General features: G+C 41.6%; 2 long non-coding RNA genes across 2 annotated transcripts in view, besides 4 other annotated features; one reads left to right on the forward strand and one right to left on the reverse strand.

Annotated features, from left to right (window-relative positions):
* Window positions 19-313: a silencer, noted in NCBI's record as "tiled region #8207; K562 Repressive non-DNase unmatched - State 21:Repr". NCBI's record gives its function as "represses a minimal TATA promoter and a strong SV40 promoter by Sharpr-MPRA in K562 cells {active_cell/tissue: K562}" and the evidence as "EXISTENCE:reporter gene assay evidence [ECO:0000049][PMID:27701403]".
* LOC124904390 (uncharacterized) lies at window positions 51-11,867 on the forward strand. The gene is made up of 2 exons (XR_007066508.1): window positions 51-266; window positions 9,544-11,867. It is a non-coding gene; the product is annotated as an uncharacterized LOC124904390 (long non-coding RNA).
* Window positions 2,801-2,850: an enhancer, noted in NCBI's record as "active region_1595". NCBI's record gives its function as "activates an Ori minimal core promoter by ATAC-STARR-seq in GM12878 lymphoblastoid cells {active_cell/tissue: GM12878}" and the evidence as "EXISTENCE:reporter gene assay evidence [ECO:0000049][PMID:35858748]".
* Window positions 15,979-16,480: an enhancer, noted in NCBI's record as "H3K27ac hESC enhancer chr1:120218249-120218750 (GRCh37/hg19 assembly coordinates)". NCBI's record gives its function as "activates a minimal SCP1, AML or CMV promoter by ChIP-STARR-seq in primed H9 embryonic stem cells {active_cell/tissue: H9 hESC(primed)}" and the evidence as "EXISTENCE:reporter gene assay evidence [ECO:0000049][PMID:30033119]".
* Window positions 19,588-20,163: an enhancer, noted in NCBI's record as "OCT4-NANOG-H3K4me1 hESC enhancer chr1:120221858-120222433 (GRCh37/hg19 assembly coordinates)". NCBI's record gives its function as "activates a minimal SCP1, AML or CMV promoter by ChIP-STARR-seq in primed H9 embryonic stem cells {active_cell/tissue: H9 hESC(primed)}" and the evidence as "EXISTENCE:reporter gene assay evidence [ECO:0000049][PMID:30033119]".
* LOC105378937 (uncharacterized) overlaps window positions 21,679-25,333 on the reverse strand; it is a 30,521-nt gene continuing 26,866 nt past the window's right edge. Inside the window, exon 3 of the long non-coding RNA XR_947757.4 lies at window positions 21,679-21,779. This is a non-coding gene — a long non-coding RNA (uncharacterized LOC105378937). The remainder of the gene's footprint in view (window positions 21,780-25,333) is intronic.

The raw sequence follows: 25,333 nt of genomic DNA on the forward strand, positions 1-25,333 counted from the left end.
ATGCAATCTATTGGTTCTGTCTCCCCAGTTTGAAGCTCTTTGGCACAGGGATGTTGCCTCATGCTTTGCCTGTCCCACCGAGTGCTTCCAGCTGTGCTGCACACAGAGCAGTTCAGGAGTCCCTCCAGGAATGTAGCCCTCCCCCTCTCTCTTCTACAAAACTCAGAGGGACTCTTCAGGAGCCACATGCTCTCATCAAGCAGAAACTTTTTAAGAGGTAGACAACAACCCAGAGTGGACACAGAGCTGGTGCTCTTCCAGTAGAGGTAAGTCTTGGCCAGCTCTCAGTGCCCTGGCTCTGTAAGCCTCCCTCCCAACAACCTCACTGAGCCTCTTGCTGGGCCTGATCCCCGAAGTAGACTTTCCCTTGTCGTGTAGTTAGTACTCCAGCTGCACTCACTTCCCAGCTTAACTTCCTGACTCTTCTCAACCAGAAATCTTTTCTGGTTCACAACTTTAACTATATTAGCTCTCTTATTTTTCAAACTTTGTATCCCTTTCCTACTGTAGGACTCACTATGATAGCTTCAGTTTCTCTTGGCTGCTTCTGGAGGCACTTCATCCATTAGCAATGGATTCTTTAATAGTTGCTTTAATTATCAACACTTACAGTTATGTACAGAGATTTCCCAGATTAGGCTATAAAATGTTTCCCTCCATCCATGTCCATGCAATGGGGACTTTTGTCCTGTATAATTGTGTCTTATGGGCTTAAATTATACCAGTATGTTCTCCATTCACGTTTTTCCCCTGTGAGATTTTATTCATGGCAATTTGTTTCAGCTGTTGATATAGAGAAACCAGTTTAACAGCTTCAAAAGGTCAACTGAAAAAGGAACCAGTCATCCTGTGTACTCATTAAAAATAAATGGAAGCATTATGGAGAGTTATTATATATCTTAAGACTTTTTTGGAGGGGAAATGGAATGCAGGGCCAGGTGGGAGACGGATGATTACCTGGGATTATATTCTTAGCTACATCTGTTAGGATATTTGGGATTCCTCCATGTGAAGAGGCTAGAAAACCAGAACGACAGTTTATACCAGGCTGGGATCTCTAGAGATAAGGATTATGTGACAGGCTTTGTAAGCACAGAATCCAGGGGAGTAACTATTGTAAGAGTTCAGACAGCTATTAAGAACAATGTTGAAAAATTAGACCAAGTGGAAAGAGAAAGAGATACGAGCTGTCAAGCCAGAGTTCAGCTAAGCAAGCTGGTTAATGGTTAATACCAGTAGCTTCTCTATCTGTGTGTTGCTTACGTCAACCCCAATTCCTCATCCTATTGTAGAGTTGGTACTTAAATCTGAAAACTCAGGTGTGCCCTGAACTGATAACCAGCTGAGAAAGTATAGGGAAGAAAGGAATGGGTGGGCAGGGCTAAAGGTAACAGTAGAGCAAAGCAGAGGTACTGGGTTCTCTAGAAGGTGGCAGATATTGTTATCAAAGAGAGTTTACCCAAGAGACCCTGAGACATTGCATTAGCAGACCAGGACACATGACTGTTTCTTAATTCTATCTCCAGTTTAGAACTACATGTCAGGTAGAGTTGACAGAAGCCAAAGAAAAAGAACAAAACAAAACAAACAAAAAAACCCTAAAGTTAGAGAAGGAACCACATGTCTGCTATAAGTAGTGTTTAGAGAGCAGGGAAAGAGATGAAATTTGTTTTCCTGCTTCTCACGTCTCATTAAAATATAGATGCTGTAGGTAGGGTATTCATCATCCCCTTCTTTGGTAAGCCCTCAGATTGCAATGGGCCACCTTGTAGTAGTGTTGTTTGATGACACAGTCAGGAAGGATGGTTAATGCACAGCAGTAGGTGGACAGAGTTCAGTTGGTCTTAAATATTTAGATCTGGTGCCCATCTAGGGATGGTGCTATGGAAAAATAATAGCTGGTAATTATTAAGAGTGTAATATATTCCAGAGACTGAACTAAAAGTCTTAAGGGTATTTCCTCATTTGCTTCTCCCATCAACCCAATTAGGCAGTTATTACTTTCTTTATTGTACATATGAGGACACTGAAGCTTAGAGAGGTTCAGTAACTTGCCCAAGGTACACAGCCAATAAATAGCAGAGATTTTCCAACCCAGGCCTGCCTCCAGATCTCATGGTGGAAATCACTTTGCTGTCCTAGGAAAGGCACTGTTAGCTCACATGGCTGAAAGGAAAGCTAATGCTACATTTTTTTTTTTTACCCTGCAGGTTAAAGAGTTAAAAATAGAGGTGAGATGCTTATTTCCTTACACTTTTTCCTGCATTTTTCTTCATTTCATCACGCATTATACCCCACATCCAGGTGCTGGTCTTGTGCTTTCGGTTACATGTTGAGTTGTGTGGAAGGGCAAGCCAGGTTTATTTCAATGGAAGAGTGTTCATTCATCAAATTGACCTACCATTATACAACACCAATGCAGATGACACACTCTACCAGGGTGTGGAGAGGAGTGTGCACAGTCCTCACACTCAGGAAATTTACAGCCTCCTTTGGAAGATAAGACATGCCTGTAAAAAGATAATCGAAGGCAGCATATGATCAGCACTAAACCACCAGGAAGAATAACTGCTCTTCATGTCAGAAGAGGGAGAGAGAGCACTTCTCAGCGGGTGGTCAAGGTAGGATTCCTGGAAGAAGGCCGGTTCTGAAAACTGAGAGAGCTGTTTATTTTTGGGTAGTGGAATCATGAAATGAATCACAGAGAGAGGAAGTGAAAGGTGTGTTTGGGAACAGCAACAGCACCAGGTTGACTTTAGCTAGGCCCACTAGGGGAGGAGTAGGAGATGGGGCAGGAAAGTCAAGCTGAAATTGGATTGTGCAGATCCTTGAAAACAATGCACAGCAGTTTGAATTCATTAAAATAAATAAGATTCAACGTAAAACACCAGGCCTACATAGGCACTTAATAAACTGGGGAGGTTTGTGTGCAACAATAGCAGAAAGAGTGAGAGCTTTGGAAATAAGGTCAGCCTGAGTCAAATTCTAGCTCTGCCATTTATTAGCAGTGTGACTTTGGGCTACTTAATTTCTCTGAGTTTCAGTTTATTCATCCCTAAAATGTAAATACTTCCCATCTCACACAGCTATAGAGCAGGGATCAGCAAACCTTTTCTGTAATGAGCCAGATTGTAAAGATTTTAGTCTATGGACCATGCAGTCTCTGCCATTGTATGGTGAAAGCACATTGACAATACGTCAACAAAAATTAGCAAGCCTGTGTTCCAATAAGACTTTATTTACAAAAAGTCAGCTAGCTGAATTTGATCTTTGGGCCACAGTTTACCAATCTCTGTTACAGAAGATTAAATTAAACATCTATAAAACACCTAGCACAAAATAGATTTTCCATAAGCATTCCAACCTTTGACAATTTCTTTTGTCCCCTCATGAAGTGGCTTCTATCTCCATTCCCACACTCTGTTGTAGTTGAGACTTATGCATGTATTATCACTTGTTTGTCTGTGGTGCGGCCATAATATTGCCCCATAAAAATGGATTTCAAAACTGACAGAGTTTTTGAGGTTCTTAAGAGGATTATTTGCTAAAGGCATACAGAAAAAGGACCTTTGCTAGTCATAATCTTAAGTGAGAACCATGTCCAATTTCTGGGCTGAGGGGATATGAGGCAACGTGCTCTGTTCCATCCCTTCACTTAAGGCTATAAGAAAAAAGCACTGAACTCCACACACTGAATTTGGAATGAAAGGGAGCCCCCTCATGGAGGTTTACGAAACACAGTTGAATTCTGTTTCACTACTCCAACTAGGATTAACCAAGATGAATTTAACTTGTGAGCAGTTGGAAAGAGTTAACTTACTCTTTCCAAGCCTCTCATGCTACCTCTCTCTCTCTCTCTCTCTTTTTTTTTTTTTTTTTTTTTTTTTTTTTTGGAGACAGGGTCTCATTCTGTCCTCCAGGATGAAGTGCAATGGCATGATCATGGCTCACTGCAGCCTTGAACTCCTGGGCTCAATTGATCCTCCTGCCTCAGCCTCCTGAGTAGCTGGGACTACAGGTGTGCACCACTATGCCTAGATAAATTTTTATTTTTAGTAGAGACGAAGTCTCGCTGTGTTGCCCAGGCTGGTCTCCAACTCCTGACCTCAAGCATCCTTCCATCTTGGCCTCCCAAAGTGTTAGGATTATAGGCATGAGCCACCATGCCTGGTTGTGTTACCTCATTTGGTCAACAACTGCATTGTGAGATAATTTTGCTCCTGAGGAAATTGAAAAAGAAGTAGTTACAAATTGGGCCAAGTCTGCACTTCATAAGTCAAAGCAATTTAGAGAGAGCAGGCTAGGTGTTGGAGGTGGGACACAGTGGAGAAGGCTTACCAGGGCCAATAGTGGGATGCTTTGCCAGGCCCCACAATTTTATGTAGGACCTGTTGTCAACACCATATCACGCTGAAATACAGTAAGATATCATCAGCCTTTCTCACTGAAGCCTCTCCCACTGCAAAAGAGTTGTAACTGAGCTTGCTAAGCTCTAGGCACAGCAGCCCTCCAGCTGGTAAGCCAAGCTAGCCAACAGGATGACCTTCATGGCTCTTTACCAACAACATCGTCCTTTAGAGTCACAGGACACTCATTTGCAACTGGCTCTTCTTCATCCCCTCTCCCCCCGCCAATAAATCACCTCCTTAGTTGCTGAATGAGGCTTGTTGGCTGTGGGACCACATCCCTGGGCTCTGCATTGCAGCAAGTATACACAGTCACCCAGGAGCCCTCTGTCATCGCCTGCGAATACTAGAAGCATGAGAATAAGAAGTAAGCCCGACCATGTTGAGGAAGGGGAAACTAGCTTTTGTTCCACAGAGTGAAACCTCAATAAATTGGCCATCTGATTCCTCCTTGAACTGTATAAATAATAGAATTTGTAAGGTAAATTAAGAGCACCAAGACTGTAGTAGGAAGTATTCTATTAGCTTAAGAAAACAGACAGATCTGAAGCAAACCCAAGTACAACTCCTAAGGAGTCTTGTTCCTTAAAGCAGTAGTTCTCAAACTCAGCCTCTACTTATTCTGTAAACCATAATTTTTTTAACTGAATTTGAATCAAATAATGGCATTTCTCCAGGGAAAAAAAAGTTAATGGGAAAATTTTCTCAGTTCTATCTATAATTGTTTACCATTTACTTATACTAAATCTAGTGTGAGCACTAATATATTCTTTTAGTGAACATTTAACATAGCAGTATTTTATCAAATTTTTATTTTGTTTTATTTTTGGTGAAGAGCACTTTCACCTCAGCCTATTTTTCACCTGAACATGTTTAAGGACCATTAAGATCAACACTACTCACAGAGTGTTATCTAAGAACAACGGGCTAGCTAGTATTTCATTATTCTTCTGCTTTAATGACAAAACAAATTTCCAACTTGAATGCAATTTTACTGGATCAATCTCTTATTTACTTCACTCTGCAGCCCATTAGAATGAGAATTTTCTCTCCTTGGTTGACACCCATTCTAAAGAATTGGGCTCTCTCCTTGATGGATCTCCAGGATATTCAGTGTCCAGTTGCCTCCCTCTGTTGCTGATCTCTGATAATCCTTATCATAGGGCTGACTTCCCTGTGAGCCTTGTCTTTATGTAAGGACCTAACTGGAAAGCCAGAAGACAAGAACTGGCTAGAAATGTTAGATGTGTTGGCTAAATATGTTGACCAGGAAGAATTAGGTTTGCCACATTTAGGTTAGAATCTTCAACTGATTGTGGGTCCAAGTTCATTTTTTTTTTTTTTTCTAATTCTCAGTTTCTTAATTTGCTTGTCCAGGCCTTACCAATAGACTTGCATGTGGACATGAGCAACACTGTTCCTGAAGGTCCTGTGTGTGCTCTGGGCACATAAGCCTCCTAACTGCCATGGAGATTTGGGAAAAATGAAGTAGATGTCCAGCTGTCTCTGGTGGGGCCCATTCTGGGACCCAGAAACCAGATTAGTAGGGTGACCAATCATCCTGATTTGCTTGGGACTGAGGGGCTCGTGGGACTTTGAGTTCCAAAACTGGTAAAGTCCTGGATACAAGAGGCTCAGGTGATGTATTTGCTGGTTAGAAAGGACTAGAGCCTTGTCTGTAATTGAGGTTCAGAGGTCTACTGAGCTATCTAAAGAACTGGAGAACCCTGAAGGATGCAGGACACTAGGGACTCTCAACTGGTCCCCCGAGAGCAGATGACCAGGAATAAAGAAATGTATCTAGAGCAGGTCAACTGAGCAGTAGCGTCTGGAGTCAGAGGAGCAGGAGCTCCAGGCATAATGCCCAGTGGTACTTGCTACCCTTCCATGCAGTCCCCCTTTGGTCCCAGGCTACCTGTGAGCTCTGGGAGGGTAAGGCAGTGGTAGAAATGCTAGAATTGTATCTAAGAGCTCACATGGCAGAGCTGAGGGAGTCCTCTCTGAAAGAACTGGACATGTGGATATACTGGCCAGAGAGAAGAGGGCACGGGAGACTGGGAGAGAGAAAGAGATGTCAAGAGAAGGACAGCAGTGGCAAGGCCAGCACGGGAAATGATGAAAGTAACAGTGGACAACAGAGGAGATGGTCCACAGAGCCCCTGATTATACATGACGAAGAGATCACCAAAAACTGATGGTTCCCCAAAATTATGTATTTTCTGGGAATTCTCAGATATAGCTGGAGAATTGAACACTGAAAAAATAAAAGCCTACTGATCAGCAGTTATGGGCAGCATGAAGGATTGAGATTTGGATTATTATTGCAAATATGATCCTGGGCTATAATTACATAAAACTGCCTAGTAAACATACAGACTATAATTACATTAAACCATTTTATGTAAATTTTCTATTGAAGTAAAAGTACATAGAGAAAAGCACACTAATCACAGGTGCACGGCTCGCTGAATTTTCCCAAAGAGAACATACCCATGTACCCAAAATCTAGATGAAGAAACAGAACATGAATATCATCCCAGAGGCCCACCTAATGCCCTTCCCAGTCACTGCCCCCTCCCAAGGGTAACAAGTATCCTGATTTATAACACCATACACTAGTTGTTGTATTTGTCTGTTTTTCAATTTTATATAAATGGCAACATATATAACTCCTTCATTTGCCTTTTTTCACTCAACATTGTGAGATTCATTTTTATTGTTACATGAGATTGTAGTTTATTTTTTGTTATTGTTGTATGGAATCCCATTATGAAAATACCACTATCTATTTATCCATTCTACTTCTGTTGAACATTTGTGTTATTTCTAGTTCGAGGCTTTTTTGAATAGTGCTGCCATGGACTTTCTACTATGTGAAATTTGGTAACTATATGGTGCATTTCTGCTAGGCATATACCTAAGAGTGGAAATGCTATGTCATAGGGCCTATGTATGCTCAGCTTTGGAAGATACTGCCTAACAGTTTTCTGAAGTGGTCATACAATTTATATTGCCCCAATAATGTTTGAGAGTTTCAGTTGCCTTACACCTTCTTCAACACTTTCATTTTGGCTATTCTAGTGGGTGTGAATTATATATAAAACTTTAAGTTTTGGCCAAGCGCAGTGGGTCACACCAGTAATCCTAACAATTTGGGAGGCCAAGGCAGGAGAATTGCCTGAGCCCAGGAGTTCGAGACAAGCCTGGGCAACATGGTGAAACCTCATCTCTGCAAAAAATACAAAAATTAGTTGGGCGTGGTGGCACACTCCTGTAGTCCCAGCTAATTGGCATGCTGAGGTGGGAGGATGACCTGAGCCTGGGAGCTTGAGGCTGCAGTGAGCTGTGACCGTAGGCTCACAACTATAGCTGTGGAAGTGTAGCTATACAAGAACATTTCCTTTTCTTCCTGAGCTGGTTCTTTTTTTTTTTTTTTGAGACAAGGTCTCACTCTGTCACCCAGATTGGCGTGCAGTGGCCCAATCTCGGCTCACTGCAACCTCTACCTCCCAGGCTCAAGCAGTCGTCCCACCTCAGCCTCCTGAGTAGCTGGGATTACAGTCTGTGCCACCATGCCTGGCTAATTTTTTGTATTTTTGGTAGAGACAGGGTTTCACTATGTTGCCCAGGCTGATCTTGAACTCCTGAACTCAAGTGATCTGTCCACCTCAGCCTCCCAAAGTGCTGGGATTACAGGCATGAGCCGCCAAGCCTGGACTTCCTTAGCTGGTTCTTTAATACGCTACAGTAAGGCTTGCTGCTTATACCCTTTCTAATAGATGCATGTTGTCTCTTTAGATGTCTGGCCACACTACCATAACATAAGAACCTTTCATTTAATCTACACATCCCAAAGTAGAGAATATAATTGCTGGAGACCTGCAGGCACTATTAGCAGGGGGACTGCAAGGCTTTTCATATATTTACTCTCACAAAGGAAGACTGTTTTCTCATAGACCATTTCTCTAGGGGCCACTGTGTGACTATAAGTGGAAGAAATCTATCATAACCAAATTGTAGACCATAAAACAAATCTGGAGTGGCACGGGAGTTTCTTTGATTTCTACCCTAGAGATCAATGTGTAAAATATGCATGATTGGTTTTCTCTGTTTAATGTCATCCTTGGCCTAGGGATTTTGAATTCTGCAGAGTCATTTTTGCCTTTAAATGAATCATTGACCTAGCTGTCCCCAACGTGTTACCATACTTGCATTGAAAAGATTGAAAGGGAATGAGGGAGTCTCAAATTCTTTCAGTAACTTTCTCTGTTCTACACACTTACTGGTCTCAGTTGGCTTGAAGGAAAGAATCTCCCCTACTGGCCTGAAAATAACTTTAAAAAAAAAGCTAAAACGAAATTGTGCTGTTGTGCAAAATGGGCTTCATTCTTCAGGGCTGATAACAAGGACAGTTAAGAAACCACAGGCCGGGCGCGGTGGCTCACGCCTGTAATCCCAGCACTTTGGGAGGCCGAGGCGGGTGGATCATGAGGTCAGGAGATCGAGACCATCCTGGCTAACAAGGTGAAACCCCGTCTCTACTAAAAATACAAAAAATTAGCCGGGCGCGGTGGCGGGCGCCTGTAGTCCCAGCTACTCGGGAGGCTGAGGCAGGAGAATGGCGTGAACCCGGGAAGCGGAGCTTGCAGTGAGTCGAGATTGCGCCACTGCAGTCCGCAGTCCGGCCTGGGCGACAGAGCGAGACTCCGTCTCAAAAAAAAAAAAAAAAAGAAAAGAAACCACAGAGCCAGGTGCAGTATTGCACACCTGTAATCCCAGCGACTCTGGAGGCTGAGATGGGAGGATCCTTTAAGCCCAGGAGTTCAAGGCTATAGTGTACCATGATGGTGTCTGTGTACTCCAGCCTGGGTGACATAGTGAGACCATGTTTCTTTTTTTGTTTTTGTTTTTGTTTTTGTTTTGTTTTCTTTTTTTTCTTTTCTTTTCTTTTCTTTTTTTTTTTTTTAGATGGAGTTTCACTCTTGATGCCAGGCTGGGGTACAATGGTGTGATCTCGGCTCACTGCAAACTCCGCCTCCCAGGTTCAAGCAATTCTCCTGCCTCAGCCTCCCAAGTAGCTGGGATTACAAATGCCCACCACCACACCTGGCTAATTTTTTTTATTTTTTATTTTTAGTAGAGACGGGGTTTCACCATGTTGGCCAAGCTGATCTCGAACTCCTGACCTCAAGTGATCCACCCTCCTCGGCCTCCCAAAGTGCTGGAATCACAGGCGTGAGCCACCGTGCCCAACCAGTGAGGCCACGTTTCGAAAAGAAGAAAGAAACGACAAACTAAAATACATGACTGTGTAGATGAGGAAGGACATGAAATGAAACAGGAAAAAGGTGACCTGAAAACTTTTAAGAATTTTATGTTATCATTGGTATTTTCCTCAAAATCACTTAAGTATCATAAAGCTTTGCAGGAAACTTTTGGTTTGGCTGCAAGGAGAGAATTCAGGACATACTCATCCAGTTGTTATCTGAGGGACTTCCTCTTAACAGCTCTTAATTTCAAAGATTATGTATCATATCCTTGTTCTTCAACCAGACTGTAATCCTCTGGAGGGCAGGGGCCATTGATTCACTCAAACATTTTTGTTAGGCACCTGCTAGATGCTGGGGATGGTAAGTTGATACTTCCTGCCATCACATCTTCCTACGCCAGCCACCTGCCTGCATCCCTGACAAGCGCCTGTTTGCCACCTCCTGGGAACTACACCCTCCTCTTCTAGAGACACCCTGTACTTTTGGCTCAGCCCTCATGATGCCAACTATTTGTTTGGATCAGCACCTGTTGTTTGCCTGAACATATGTTCTGCCTAACAGACCTTTCTCCTGGTCCTTGGATCCAGTCTACCGCCCCCACTTCCAACTGCCCCTCTCTATTGGTGTGTCTCCTTCAAGGTTCTAGACCCTCTTAGGCTTTCCATCCAAGTCTTTTCTGGGCTACAGTACTTCACTTATAAAGATTTTCATTCCACAAATGTTCATTGAGCTTCCCCTTAGTGCCAGGAGCTGTGCCAGTTGATAAAGACACATGTTAATGGTTATCAGGCTGCTAAGAAAAACATAGGCATGTGAATACGAATGTATAAGAAAATGCTACAAATGCCTCAAGAGATGTGTGAATGAGATAGAGGGGCACCAAAACACAGGTGATCAATTTTTCCATGAGGTTAGGGCTAGGCAGGTAAGATTTCATGAGTAAACATTAGATAGAGTAGCTTCAACTAGATCTCTGCTTCTATAACAGCTCTTGACATTCTCACTTGACCACACTGCATTGCTGGTCAGAGATCTGGCAGCACTGGACAGAAGAGAGGGCAAGACAGGCTATCTAAGGGAATCTAGGTCTCATCTCCAAATTGGGTTATTTATTCTTGTATTGTCGAGTAGTAAGGGTTCATTATGTGCTATGGATACACTTAATGAACTATTATTTCATTATATGTTTTCCTCTAAATTAGCCTTCTTTTTTTTTTAGACGGGTCTCACTCTGTTGCCCAGGCTGGAGTGCAGTGATGTGATCATGGCTTACTGCAGCCTCAACCTCCCAGTCTCAAGACATCCTCCTGCTTCAGCCTCCCAAGTAGTTGGGATTACAGGTGTGCTCCAGCACAGGTGGCTAATTTTTGTATTTTTAGTAGAGACAGAACTTCACCATGTTGCCCAGGCTGGTCTTAAACTCCTGGGGTCAAGCAATCTACCCTACTCAGCCTCCTAAAGTAGTGGGATTACAGGCATGAGCCACCATGCCAGGGCCTTCTAATTTAGTCTTGACATCTCTCTTAGGATAGAGACTATATAAACTCTAGCCCTGGGCTGTAGGGAATTTGGTCATGGCTGCTTACAGTGTCCTTTCATGAGATACTTCTTTATCCTGGCAGATGCTTTTGTTGCTGTCTGATCTGTGTCCAGTTTATTCCTACCAAGATGGCCACTGTCTAGGAGATCCCTGGCTAGTAAAAAAGTTAGATTTGGGTGTGTCAGTCAGGTGAGCCATGTAAGAGGCAGCACAACAAAATGCATGAAGTAGCAGAAGCAGCGTATTACTCACAGGTCCTAGAGGGAGGAGGGCAGCACACCAATAGGAATTGAGAGCCACCTGGTACAAAAAAGCCCAACTAGTATTTAAAATGGATGCCGAGACAACATAAAATGACAATAATTCACTACCATCCCTTACAAACTATGATTTGTAAATATTTTCTCCCATTACCTAAGCTATCTTTTTACTTTCTTGATGATATTCTTTGAAACACAAAATTTTTTATTTAAAGAAGTCTAATTTATTTTTATTGTTGTTGTTGCTTATATCTTGAGTGTTGTATGTAAGAAGGGTTTGCCTACACCAAAGTCACAAAGATTTACTCCTATATTTTCTCCTAAGAGTTTTATAGTTTTAGCTCTTAAATTTAGATCTCTGGTCCGTTTTAATAAATTTTTATAAATGGTATGAGGAAGGGTCCAACTTTGTTCTTTTACACGTAGGTACCCAGCAGTTCCAGCATCAATTTTTGAAAAGATTATTCTTTCTCTCATTGAATTGTCTTGACTCCCTTATTGAAAATCAATTGACCATAATTATAAGGGGTTATATCTGGATTCTCGATTCTGAACTATTGATTTATAAGTCTATCTTTATGCCAGCACCACACTGTCTTAATTACTATAGTTCTGTAGTACATTTTAAAATCAGGAAGTGGGGATCCTATAACTTTTTCCTTTTTTTCAAGATTATTTTGGCTATTCTGGATGCCTCACATTTGTACATGAATTTTGTGTTTAGTTTCTCAATTTTTGCATACAAGCCAGCTGGGATTTTTAGGGATTGTGTTGGATCTGTACATCAATTTAGGGAGAATTGTCATCTTAACAGTATCTAGTCTTCTGATCCATGAGCATGTATGTCTTTCCATTTATTTGGATCTTCTTTAAGTTCTTTCAACAATGTTTTCTAATTTTTAGAGTACAAGATTTACCCTACTTTGGGAGGCTGGGGCTGGAGGATCACTTGAGCCCCACAGTTCAAGGCTACAGTGATTTATGATCATGCCACTGTGCTCCAGCCTGGGTGACAGAGAGAGACTCTGTCTCTAAAACAACAACAATAAAAAACAAACAAACAAAAATGACTTACTTTTGTCTTACTAAATTTATTCCTATTTCTATTTTATAATTCCTATTTTCTTGATGCTGCTGTCACTGGAATTATTTTCTAATTTCTTCAGATTTTTAATAAAGCATGTAGAAGTACAATTCATTTTGTGTGTTAATCTTTTTATTTTTATTTCTTTCCTTTTTTTTTTAAGAGACATAAGCTCGCTATGTTGCCCAGGCTGCTCTCAAATTTGTGGCCTCAAGAGATCATCCTGCCTTGGCCTTCCAAAGCTCTGGGATTACAGGCACAAGCTAATATACCTGGACCACTTTGTTTATTAATCTTAAATCTTACAATTTTTCTGAACTCATTTATTAGTTCTAATAGTTTAAGTAAATTTCTTAGTATTTTCTATATGCAAGATCATGTCATCTGCAAATAGAAAGAGTTAGTTTTACTTTTTCCTTTCCGATCTGGATGCATTTTGTTTTATTTTCTTGCCTACTTGCCCTTCCAGCACACTACTGAATAGAAGTGGTGAGAGCAGACATTCTTGTCTTATTCCTGAAAGAGGAAGTACTTGCTTTAGTCATAAAGCTATAATAGCTAAAACAATAATTGTGGTTCTGGCATAAGAAAAGATAGGCAAATCAATGAAATAAAAAGAATAGCTCAGAAGCAGATACTAAAACAGAGAAGTTAAAATATCATGAGGGAAGCGCTACAAATCAGTGGTGGAAGGTTGAACTACTGGATAAATTGTGGCTCTAAAAAACTAGTTGGATGTTTTGGGGAAAAATCAATTAAGGGATTCACATGATACATCAATATACAATTTTAATGGATAAGAATTAAATATAGAGAAACACATCACACCATTAGTAAATATAAAATATAAAAGCAACGCCTGGATGAAAATCAAATCTCCAGATAAGAAAGAACATTTCGAAATGGCTTTCCAAATTTTTAAGTTATCATGTTTTTTGACTCGGCAATTTAACTAAAAGAATGCAAACATCATCTTTATGGATCTCAGACAATTGACTAGCTTTCTCATTGCTACATTTGCGGATGGTAGAAAGTCAATACATACTTATGAATTTAAAAAAAAGTTGTACAAAAACTTAAAGGTGTACGTTCAGGAAGGATGTCATAGCGGTGCCATTTGCGTGAGTCAGTAGCCAACAGTCACCCTATGCCTTGAGATTTAAATGAAGTTCACCTGGGAATCCTAACCCTGTCAGATGTACATTGCCCTCCCTGTGATTTCTGTGAGTTATGGCAGTTTTATTTTCTCACAGTTCTTTCTATCTTGCTCAGAGCTCTGGTTCTGTCTCAAGCCCACTTGCATCTCACCTCTTTTAGCCTGTCTTGTCTTTTTGACTTGAACCAATGTACATGTGAAATTCAATACCCTTTCCTTACCTATCTTTTCAAGATAAAACAAGACAAAGCAGAACAACAAAAACACCTCCCAAGCCATCTGAATGTGGATTTTTTACAACCACACAAACTGACTCATTCAAAAATTAATATTAGACTTTCTCATACATAAAGGCCCTTTGTCCTCTTGTCCTCTTTCCCATGAAGAATTTCTCACTGGCCACATTTCTCCATGGGCTCTGGTATCCTGCTTGTCACTTGACCTTCTCTCTCCACCTCAAGCATTTCCTGACATTTTATCAGTTCTGTGTTTTCAGGATTTGCTTTCCCATGGACTATTTAGAGACAGTCAAAATACCCAAGGGGAATAAAATCAAGCTTTTAAAGAATTAAAATAAGTTTTATTCACAGTCCTTACTGAGGACTATAGACTGAGGCCCATAGCCCAGGAGGAGTCTTTCAGAGAGGTCTGTCGGACTCCTCTAAAGCAGTGTTTCAGCCCATTGGTAGGTAGGTGGTGGAGGTTAAGTATATGCAAAATCACATCTATGTTTGGGTGCAAGAGTACATTTGATTACAGTTTACTAAAGCACATTTGGTTATAGGTAGTAGAAGCATAGTGACTAAGCCCATGAGATGTTATCGTGTGTAAGAAAAGGCAAGGGCTAGCTAGGGTCAATTAACTTTTAAGAAATATAGTGACTCAGACAAGAGGCATGGGGGATGTGCTCTATCCTGTTTTGTCAAAGTATCTTTCTGGAGAGCTGCAGGCCTCACAATCAGGGGCTTTGTAAAATTACCCTGGCAAGCAGAAACAGGCAAACACCGCTCCTTCCGTTTGTTTGCTACTTTGTCTCTCGGTATGCAGAACAATTCTGCTTTCTAACCCTCTCCATTCCTGGACCTTCTTTGCATGTCTAAAGCTTTGATAACATCTAGACTACTGGAGGGACCATTAATTTGGCCTCAAGCTTTAACAGTACAGAAAATGGGTGGAGGTTTCCACATTTCAGACTTCCTTTTCTCTTTTACCCACCAAGATTTACAAGTAAAAGGAAGCAATATGGATACTTGTTTTCCCTCTGCTATGAAATATGCCTTTCTTCTTCCCTTACAAGTGGCTACAGACAGTTTGGGTTTTAAATATTTTTTTTCACCAAGCTACATTTGTAAAAGTAAGAAAATTAAAAATGATCCAAATGATCATCCATAGAAGATACCAGGTTAAATAAATCATGATACAATAGACTGAAGGATGTAATCGGTCCAGATGTTCTGAAATGGAAAGATGACCAAAATCTATTGTTAAGATACAACAACAACAACAAAAATGTAAGTTGAAAAGCCAGTTGCCCGAACGTATGTGTAATATGAAACCATTTGGCAATGTCTGGATGCATTATTGGTTGTCACAACTAGGCGGTGGTGGTGGTGGTGGTGAGGCTACTACTGGCCTCTAGTGGGCAGAGGCCAGGGTTGCTGCTTATCATTCTACAATCCACAGGGCAGCTTTCCAAAGAATTTGCTGGCCGCAAATACCAACAGGTCTGAGATTAAGAAACCCTGTTCTAGATGAATATACACCAAACTTTCAACAGTGGATATCTCCAAGAGTTGAATTATAGAGGAATTATACTTTTTCTAAATTTTTAATCTATTCGCATTTCTTGTAACGAGCTTATTATATTCAGAAAAAAATGTGAAAAGCTATAAACAGTTGGAAGAGCTTGCACATAAAAAAATAAATATTTCTAATCAAATTACACAGAAGATGAGCAGATAGGGAGAGAGCAGTGCCACAGAATCTAGGACAGGAGAGACCTCCCTTCCCAAGGACACCCAGTTGGGAGGGAACTCAGGTAAGAATCAGCCCTTCATTCAAATGGAGGAATTTCCTCCCGAGAGCACATCTCACCAATAGCCAGTTCTTTCCTAGTCTCACGGGGCGGTGCTCTGTCTTCGGAGATTACGGGTGGTCGAAGGGGAGGGAGGCCGGGTGTGGAAGCTTGTGTTCCTCCCTGTCTGAACATGATACCCAGAATCCAGGGGTTTGGAGAATGTAACTGTTAGGTGCTTAATAGAACATAAAAGTACACGTGAAATAGAAGTCATAGTGCTATTTATTCTTCCACGGGGCAAATTTCCCTTTTTAATTTTTCTCTAGTTGTTTTGTTACACTGGAATCTCTTGAGCGCCATCTGGTGGACAGATTTCCATCACCCAATCAGATGGTCAGCCTTCCCCACAAACATTTTAGTCACACTATGCCTCTGTCCGGCAGGATCATGTCTTGTCTTCAATGCCCCAGCACTTTGTGCAGTTGACACATTATAGGTAACCAGAGTCTGTTTGTTGAAGTAGTAAACATTGGTCCATTAGAAGCTGGGAGTGAATATTGAAGTCAGGTATGAATTGGCATTGGGAAGAAGGAGCTGAAAAGCAGGAATAAGCTGTCCTGATTGTGAAGGGTGAGTGCAATGCCGGACTGAGAAATAAAACTAACTCCAGGCCAAAGAGCGTTGGAGATTCCCAACAGGCTCCCCAAGGACACACAGGGAGCCCAGTAGAATTTTCCTGGAGCCTACTGAATTTCTGCTAGGAGTGGACTCGGCCCTCTGCCCAAATGAGGTGCCATGAGGTACACAAAGGCTCTAATATGTAATTTGACACTTCCCTGGGTAAAACAGAAAGTACACTGGCCAGACCCCAAAGTAAACTTACGTACTTCCTCTTTACCCCTTTTTTTCTGCTTTAAAAAATCTCAGCGATTCTTTCCTGCCTTTCTTTTTTTTTTTTTTTTTGAGACGGGGTCTCGCTCTGTCACTCAGGCTGCAGTGCAGTGATGCGATCTCGGCTCACTGCAAGCTCCACCTCCCGAGTTCACACCATTCTCCTGCCTCAGCCTCCCGAGTAGCTGGGACTACAGGCGCCCGCCACCACGCCCGGCTAATTTTTTATATTTTTAGTAGAGACGGGGTTTCACTGTGTTAGCTAGGATGGTCTTGATCTCCTGACCTTGTGATCCGCCCGCCTCGGCCTCCCAGAGTGCTGGGATTACAGGCGTGAGCCACTGCGCCCGGCCTCTTTCCTGTCTTTCAGCTCTGCTCCTCTCAATTCCCCAATAACACAATCCCTAGTCTCCTAAGAGTGGGCCCCAGGATAGTCTGCAAACTCATCACCTTCTAAGGGGGACTGCTGTCACTGAGTGGTCCCAAGTGGGCACTAGAGGCCAGTGTTGCAATGTTTTCAGTCTTTTCAAAAGAAATAGAAATCTTTATTATCTTGTGAAATCCCTTAGTTTGGAGCCAATATTGGCTCCAATTACTTTTGAAACACTCCATGGGCCAAAAAGCACTTGTGTTTATGGCCAACAATTAGTAACCCATCAAAGAGGCTCTCTGGACTGAGTGTAGTGGCTAATGCCTGTAATCCCAGCACCTTGGGAGGCCAAAGTAGGAGGATCACTTGAGCCCAGGACTTGGAGACCAGCCTGAGCAACATAGCAAGACCCCGTCTCTACAAAATTTAAAAAATTAGCTGAGTGTAGTGGCGTGGGTCTGCGGTCCCAGCTACTTGGGAGGCTGAAGTGAGAGGATTGCTTAACCCAGAAGGTTGGGGCTTCAATGAGCCATATTCTTGGCACTGCACTCCAGTGTAAGTGATAGAATGAGACTCTGTCTCAAGAATAAAAAAATTAAAAAATTAAAAAAAGAAGATTTCTAAGCTTCTTCCCAACGTTTCTGACACACTGTGACTCTAACCTCTGCCCACATTTCTACATGGCTAATTTTTAAATAAGGTCAACTGCTGATCCTAGGTCAGCAAGAACCACAAGGTCAGGAGTGTTCTTTCTTCGAAGTTTCAGGTTAATCAGTTTCTGTTTAGGAAAAAGAACAAGACTTCTCTTTAGGTAAGGTATCTACCAGAGCAGCCCCCACTCCCACCCGAAAGTCACCTGAATACAGCTATTTCCTGTGCCTCTTTCTGCTACAAATCTCTGCAGCATGTTTTGTTTTATGCATCAAAACTAGATCGACCTCTGCATTCTGATCATTCCCCCACGGTGTTGTCTTTTTCCAAACTTTCTGTTTTCATTAACTTAAAGTCTATGATGCTATCAAACTGATTAAGCTCATTCCAACCAAGCACCACATGCTGAAGCTAGTGAATCACATTGCCAGTTGGGCTTTAAAAAGAACAGGTTTGAATGTACATCCTAATGTATTATATACTATATTGTGAATATGGATTGTGTTGAAGCTATAATTATGAGGGATTTAATACATTGGGGTCTACATTCAACCCCGATGTACACATACTTATATATATGTAAAATGTTTAGCCCATTAACTTTGCCTTGCTGACAGTTGTGGGAAAGTTTCTAGAGTTGTCAGTCACAAGGTCTTGTGAGAATCTGATCTAAGCAACTCAGCCTTCCCTCAAGAAAAAAGCACTCATAAGCAAACAATTTCCCAAAGTCTGTGCATAGACCCTTAGGCATACCTGAACCCCAGGTAAGAACTCCTGCTGTATCAGTGAGGGGCAAGGCAACTGCTCAGAGCCTGTAGGTCTCATTTAATTTGAAGGTGGCTGGTTGACCCTAAGCTCTTTCTCAGTACATCACGCCTTCCAGTAGAACTGAACCAAAACTCTAAGACACCCTGTTTATGCTCCCTTGGGAATTTAGGGCCCTTACCATGTATAGCTTCTCTGGGGTGGTTTCTGATGCTCATCAATTCTCTGACATCAACTGGGTATGTTACCAGTGGAAGATATCCTGGTTATCGGTGGCAAATTCATATGTGTCTGCAGCAACCTCAATTCTTGCCTCCTCAGAAGAAAGAATTCAACTGAGGGGCATAAGGCAGAAAAAAGACTGAGGCAAGTTTCATTGTAGGAGTGGAAGTTTATTAAAAAGCTTTAGAGCAGGAAAGGAAAGTGCTTTCGGAAGGGACGCAAGTGGGCACTGAGAAGGTCAAGTGCCTGGTTTAACCATCATCCTAGGACTTTATAGGCTGGCAAACTCTGGCGTCTTGCGCCCCCTTTCCATGATTCTTCCCTTAGGGTGTGTTGCCTGCATGCACAGTGCCCTCCTTACCCTTGGGAATTGAGCACATGCAGTGTGTTTAGGAAGTTGTATGCATGCCCATCTGAGACTTTCTTCCCTTTTCTGGTGGAGTGCCACCAGAAGGTCATACTCCACCATTTTGTCTCTTAATGCGCAGGCCTGGGAAATTGCCTCTCTGGTGTCTGCTGTCAATCAACACTTCAGTGCAATGGGTATGGACCATCAAGAAATGGCCTCTCTCTGGAGGCTGGCTGCCAATTTATCGCTTTTAGAGAGGCAACGTGATAATCATCAAACCGTCACCTGCCATTCCTGGTGGGTGGGGGAGAGCCCTCTCCTGCCCCACTCACGCCTAACTACCTGTAACAGGTATCAAAAATTCAATTATGACACTATCTGGAGTTAGTGCAGACACAGATTAAGGGCTCAGTCCTATAAGACTGCACTGACTTCAAATGTCAGTCTCATCTGGGCCAGGCCACCCATGCTTCTGACCTACCAGCTATAAATCAAGGATTCCCAAGATCCCCTCCTCAAGTTCAATAATTTGATATAAGAGCTCACAGAACTCAGAAAAACAGTTTACTTACATTTACTGACTTATTATAAAGGATACAACTCAGGAACAGCCAAATGGAAGAGACGCAGAGGGCAAGGTATGGGGGAGTAGGGTGAGGGTGGCACAGAGCTTCAATGGCCTCTCTGGGTGTGTCACCTCCCAGCACCCAGTAGCTCTCTGAATCTATTGTTCAAGAGTTTATAGAGCTCAACAGGTCAGAGGGTGGGGCTGAAAGTTCCAACCCTCCAATCACTTGGTCTTTTTAGTGACCATCCTATTCTGAAGCTATCTAGGGACCCCATCTCAAGTTACCTTGTTAACATAAGTTTCAGTGTGATCTAACAGGGCTCATTATGAATAACAAAAGATAATCCTATCACTCAGGAAATTCAAAGGGTTTTAGGAGCTCTGTGCCAGGAACCCAGGATGAAGACCAAATACATTTTTTAAAATACTATCACAGCTTCTCTGTGCCATCCAGGCTTATTAAGATCATAACTGATCACTCAATGTTCCCACCTCTAGCTTTTTGCTTGATTGCCATCTCCTCCATTCATCTTTATCTCTCTGTCTCCAACTGGATTAGGAGTGGGCTTAGGGTCAGAACCAGGGTTCTTTTGGCATTGGTGATGGATCAACCAAGAGAAGGTTAAAACCTCCAAACCTGATCAGTCTATCAGGTTGGGACTGGCTCCAGTAGTAGGTAACAAAACGATGTCCAGGGAGATGCAGGAGGTAAATAACCAGGCATGTGGGCAGTGCAGAGCCCCCAAAAAAGCCAAGCAGGATGGCAGGTGGCATTAGAGATGGCTGGAAGCAGGAACCTAACCAGAGGACTGCAGTTCAGGGCCAGGATTTTAATCTCTGGAATTGAGAAGAGCAAGACAGGAAGTAGAGTTTGAAGCCGGGAGTCAAGGTGGGAAAGTGACACAAGGGAAAAGCAGGCACCCAGTTACCAATGTTGTGGTACAGGCATTGTATTTAAAATAAGGAAGATGGGCACAGTGGCAAATGCCTGTAACCTTAGCTACATGGGAGGCTGAGGTAGGAAGATTGCTTCAGCCCAGGAGTTCAAAATCATCCTATGCAACACAGCGCAAACCCATCTTGATAAATGAATAAATACATAAGTAAAATTTAAAATAACCTAAGGAAATAATCCATAAACAAAGTACATCTAAGCAGAGCTAGCAGTAAGTTGGCTTGATTCCAAGTCAATGAGCTTTGACCCTATAGTTCTTAACACGCTTCTTGGGGATCAGTTCATCTCTGAATCAAGATGAGCTGAACCTGCAAGTGGGGACCAAATGGATCTAGTAGTGGGTTTTAGAGGCCTTCAGCGGGTAGAGAGCCAGGTGGAAACAAGAGGGATGCCACCAACATCCTCATCTTTGGTAATATTTTAAATAACAATATGAGAAGATATATATGAGAATATAACAAATATGAGAAGTCAGTGCTGAGCATTTCCTGGGCCAGCGGCAGATAAGCCAGGGATATTTTCTTGTTTTCCTTAAAGCAAGTAGAAAGACAACAGAGTATTGTGGTTACAGCTGAATTTGGAGCCAGATTGCCTGGATTCAAATCTCAACGCTGCTATGAGGTCAGCTGCCTAAAATTGGCTTTTTAAATTTCTTTAAATTGTCTTTAAATCTCTATATTACTCATTTAGAGAGTAAATATAATTTCTATTATGTTATGGATGCTAATAATAGAACACACCTCCTAGGGTTCTTATGAGTAATGAATACATTCTATAAAAGTGCTTATGACAATGCCTGGCATACAATAAACACTATACGTGTTGAAATATAAATAGTGGTTGAAAACATTGTAAGACTCAGGCCACCTCAATATGAATCCTGAGTCTCAAGTGAAATCTCTGTGGACAAGGAGATAGTGAGGAAATTGTCCAGAATGGAATAGTGTTAGAGTGGCAAGAGGTGACAACCACAAGACTCAGGCTCCTGTTGAGACTTGGCCCTAATATAATTGGGTCTTGCTTTTCTGGAATTCCAAATGTATGCCCAAGAGTGAAGAATTACAGTCAATACATCAATGGGTAGAATCAACTGTCTAGGAAAATTCATAAGGTAATGGAATTAAGGCTATTTGTCTCATGCAATACAATCCACTTGGACCTGCAAAATTTTAAGGAGGTAAAAAAGAAACACCGGATTTATCCAAATACCATTTAATCCCAGTTGATCTCAGTTTTTCCAGGTCTAGAACAGTGTTCAATTCCTGTTTGTATTCCCTGTCAATAAGAAAAGGATTTTGATTCAATGATTCTGTGTTAAATAGCATGTTGTTATACAGAGTAGCATTCGGTTTGTTATTAGTCAAGATTCTCCAGAGAAGCAGAACCAATAAGATGTGAATATACACAAATAGAAAGAGATTATTATAAGGAATTATTCATGTGATTATAGAGACTGGCAAGTCCAAAATCTGCAGAGTGGCTGACAAGGTAGAGACCCAGGAGAGCCAGTGGAGCAGATAAAGCTGGAAGGCAGTGTGCTGGGGAATTCTTGCTTGCTCAGGGAGGCCAGCCTTTGTGTTCTATTTGGCTTCAACTGATTGGATGAGGCTCACCCACATTATGGAGAGCAATGTGCTTACTCAAAAATTCACGGATTTAAATGTTAATCTCATCCATAAACACACGCCAGGTTTTAAATGTTAATCTCATCCAATAACATCTTCCAAGTTAACACAAAAAATGAACCATCACAGACTGTAAGCCCCCTTTAAGACCAAAAATAATCTGTTGTTCTTATACCCTTATTCTGAAGGAAAATGAAGACATTTAATATCTTTCCACTGTTCTTTTCTATTTTTTTAAGAGATAGGGGTCTCACTCTGTTGTCCAGGCTAGAGTACCATGGCATGATCAAAGCTCACTGAAGCCTCAAACACCTGGGCTCAAGTGATCCTCCTGCCTTAGCCTCTCAAGTAGCTGGGGTTACAAGTGCACACCACTGCACCTGCCTTCACTGTTCTTTTCTAGCACATACTTTTAGTGTACTTGTATTGGGAAAAAAATGGGCATTGTTTGGGAAAGAACAATAAATTCTTACAACAAAAGCAATTTTAATTATAAAAATAAGGGTGGTACTAAAGGAGATGGTGCAACAGTAAGGTGGAAAGACATGAGTCCTGTATGACCTCATGGAGTAAGGCTGCCTACCAACTTAAGACTGCTCATGGTGAGATCATTATGTGTGTAAGAAAAAATCTTCAATTTTTTAAGTACTATATTTTGTTAGTAAATAATATAAACCACTGATACCTGGAAATGGATGCTGCCATCAAATGACCTTAAATACATAGCATCATCCTAGCAGTGAGGGATGGGCAATAAGAACAGATATTGTGGCCCAGAAAACTGGTGAGCCTTGTGGAAGACAGACCACTGTCCTTTCTTTTCCCCTAGGGAAAGTTAATGTCTCTCTCAACTATGTTCCACAACACACATGAAATACTTTGGATACCTAGTTATTTCTGTATGTTTCCTCAGAACATTTACTTTATGGAGCCGTTTATCCCCAGCATCTAACAGAATGTCAGGCCCAGAAATATGAGTTGGATGAATGAGTGAATATATGCCCAATGAGTGAATGAATGGTCAGGGAATTATTTTCTGAGACTTCATCTAAATAGGATTGGCTATAAACACGTAGCATCTCTAAAGGTTGTGAGAGCCTTTCTTTCCCTCTGAGTGAAGAGATTCATGTTAGTTGTTCATAAAGGTAAGTCACTGGTTAGCCAGGGCTTCAAGACTGGAAATGATATGTAATAAATTCTAAGCTTTGCTTACTCACAATGTCGCTGCTGGCCAAGGAAAAGTTTCCTTTATTTGCTGCCTCAGATTTATTTCTATAAAAAGGGCCATAATCAAACTCCAGGAGAATGGTAAATTGCTATTGAGATGATATATGGGATACAAAAGAAAAAATAAATAAAAATAAACCTGCGTTGAATTCCAAAATATTCTTTGTAGTAGATCTATGTTTATTGTAGAATGTAAGAGAATCCAATGTCTTATTCTTCCTGTTCTTGTAATGCCTATGCTATGAGAACAGAAGGAATCAATTATTCAGTAATTTAGAACAAATAACTGGAGGATTGAATTCTGTATCACATTTGATTCTATTAAAACAATGAGGCTGGGCATGGTGGCTCACATCTATAATCCTGGGAGGCAGAGGCAGGAAGATCCCTGGAGCACAGAAGTTCAAGACCAGTCTGGGCAACATGGTGAGACCCTGTCTCTACAAAAAAAAAAAAAAAAACCAAAAAAAAACAAAAAAAAAAACCTTAAAAAGTTAGCTGGGCGTGGTGGTGCACCTCTGTGGTCCCAGCTACTCGGGAGAATTGCTTGAGCCCTGGAGGTCGAGGCTGCAGTGAGCTGCAAAAAAACAATGATAACATGTACAGAAATCAAAACAAAAGAAAAAATTATCTATAATCCTATCATCTTACAATCTTTTAAATTTTTTTTTCAAGACAGTATTTTGCTCTATGGCCCAAGCTGGAGTGCAGTGGTGCAATCACAGCTCTCTGCAGCCTCAACCTCCTGGGTTCAAATGATCCTCCTGCCTCAGCTTCCTGAGTAGCTGGGATGACAGGCTCGTGCCCCTATACCGGCAAATTTTTTTATTTTTTGCAGAGATGAGGTCTCACTATGTTGTGCAGGCTGGTCTTGAGATCCTGGCCTCAAGCAATCCTCCAGTCTTGTCCTCCCAAAATGTTGGGATTATAGGCATGAGCTACTGCACCTGGCCTGTTTTAATTTTTGTATGTTCTGTTTTACACTTTATATGTTTGTCTATATTTTTCAAACACATAATGAAAAGAACTCATGCACGCAAAACATGCACAGACAGATTTTATGTGTATACAGGCCAGGCCAGCCTGAGGGTAGATATCAGGTCACACTAGCAGTAATCAGACAATATTTCTCTGATTCTAGCCCTACTCATTCTGCAGAAATTCCAGTCCTCCTCACATCCTTCCTAACTAGTTCTTGAATTCTCAGGAACTAATCCTCCCAGCTATCATGTGTCATCTCCAATTTTCCTCTTCTTTTTAGCATCTCCCTTTCAGCATGTCTCCTGTTGCTGGTGCTGCTGCAGAAACTTCAAAAGCTGCCCGGTTCCTCTGCCCCAGTGTGATGCCCTCTTCCATTCTTCTTCCAGCAGCAAGCAAAGGCTGATTTGACTCCTCAGTCAGCTTGCTTGTGATCAGCAAGTCCACTGTGTTAGAATCAGGGACCTGGTCTATCAAGTAGTGCAAACGTGGAGATTTTGATGGAACTGCCCTTGTGGTTTTTACAGGCTTTTTATTGCAGTCCATACTCCTTTGAGCATCTGTGAGTCCACAGTTTGAGAGAGAGCAAATTAAATTGCTGACAGTCTTTTTAGGACGACCTATTTCTTTTTTTGCTGATTCTGTTCCTAAGCTGAGCTTATGATACTTGATTCTCTTTTCCTTATAATGAATTTTTACTCAATAGGTTCCTCAGTACCTCATGCAAACATACGCCAGGTAAGTCTCTTCAGACAGGCCTAAATATGTTCAAAGTCTTGCATGAACGCAGTTTGAGGTGTCTGGGCATCCTAATACAATAGTATAGATAGAATTATGGGTTTTGCTTTGTTCATTTCACATTGTGAGTGTGTTTGCAGGTTACTAGAGAGTTCTCATAATTATTAAGTGGCTATATAATATTATATAGGAAGGAGATGCCATAATTTACCTAATTTTTCTCTTAATTTGGACGTTTATGTTATCACTGATTTGTTTCTA

This window comes from Homo sapiens, chromosome 1 (assembly GCF_000001405.40).
Source record: "Homo sapiens chromosome 1, GRCh38.p14 Primary Assembly".
NCBI lineage: Eukaryota > Metazoa > Chordata > Mammalia > Primates > Hominidae > Homo > Homo sapiens.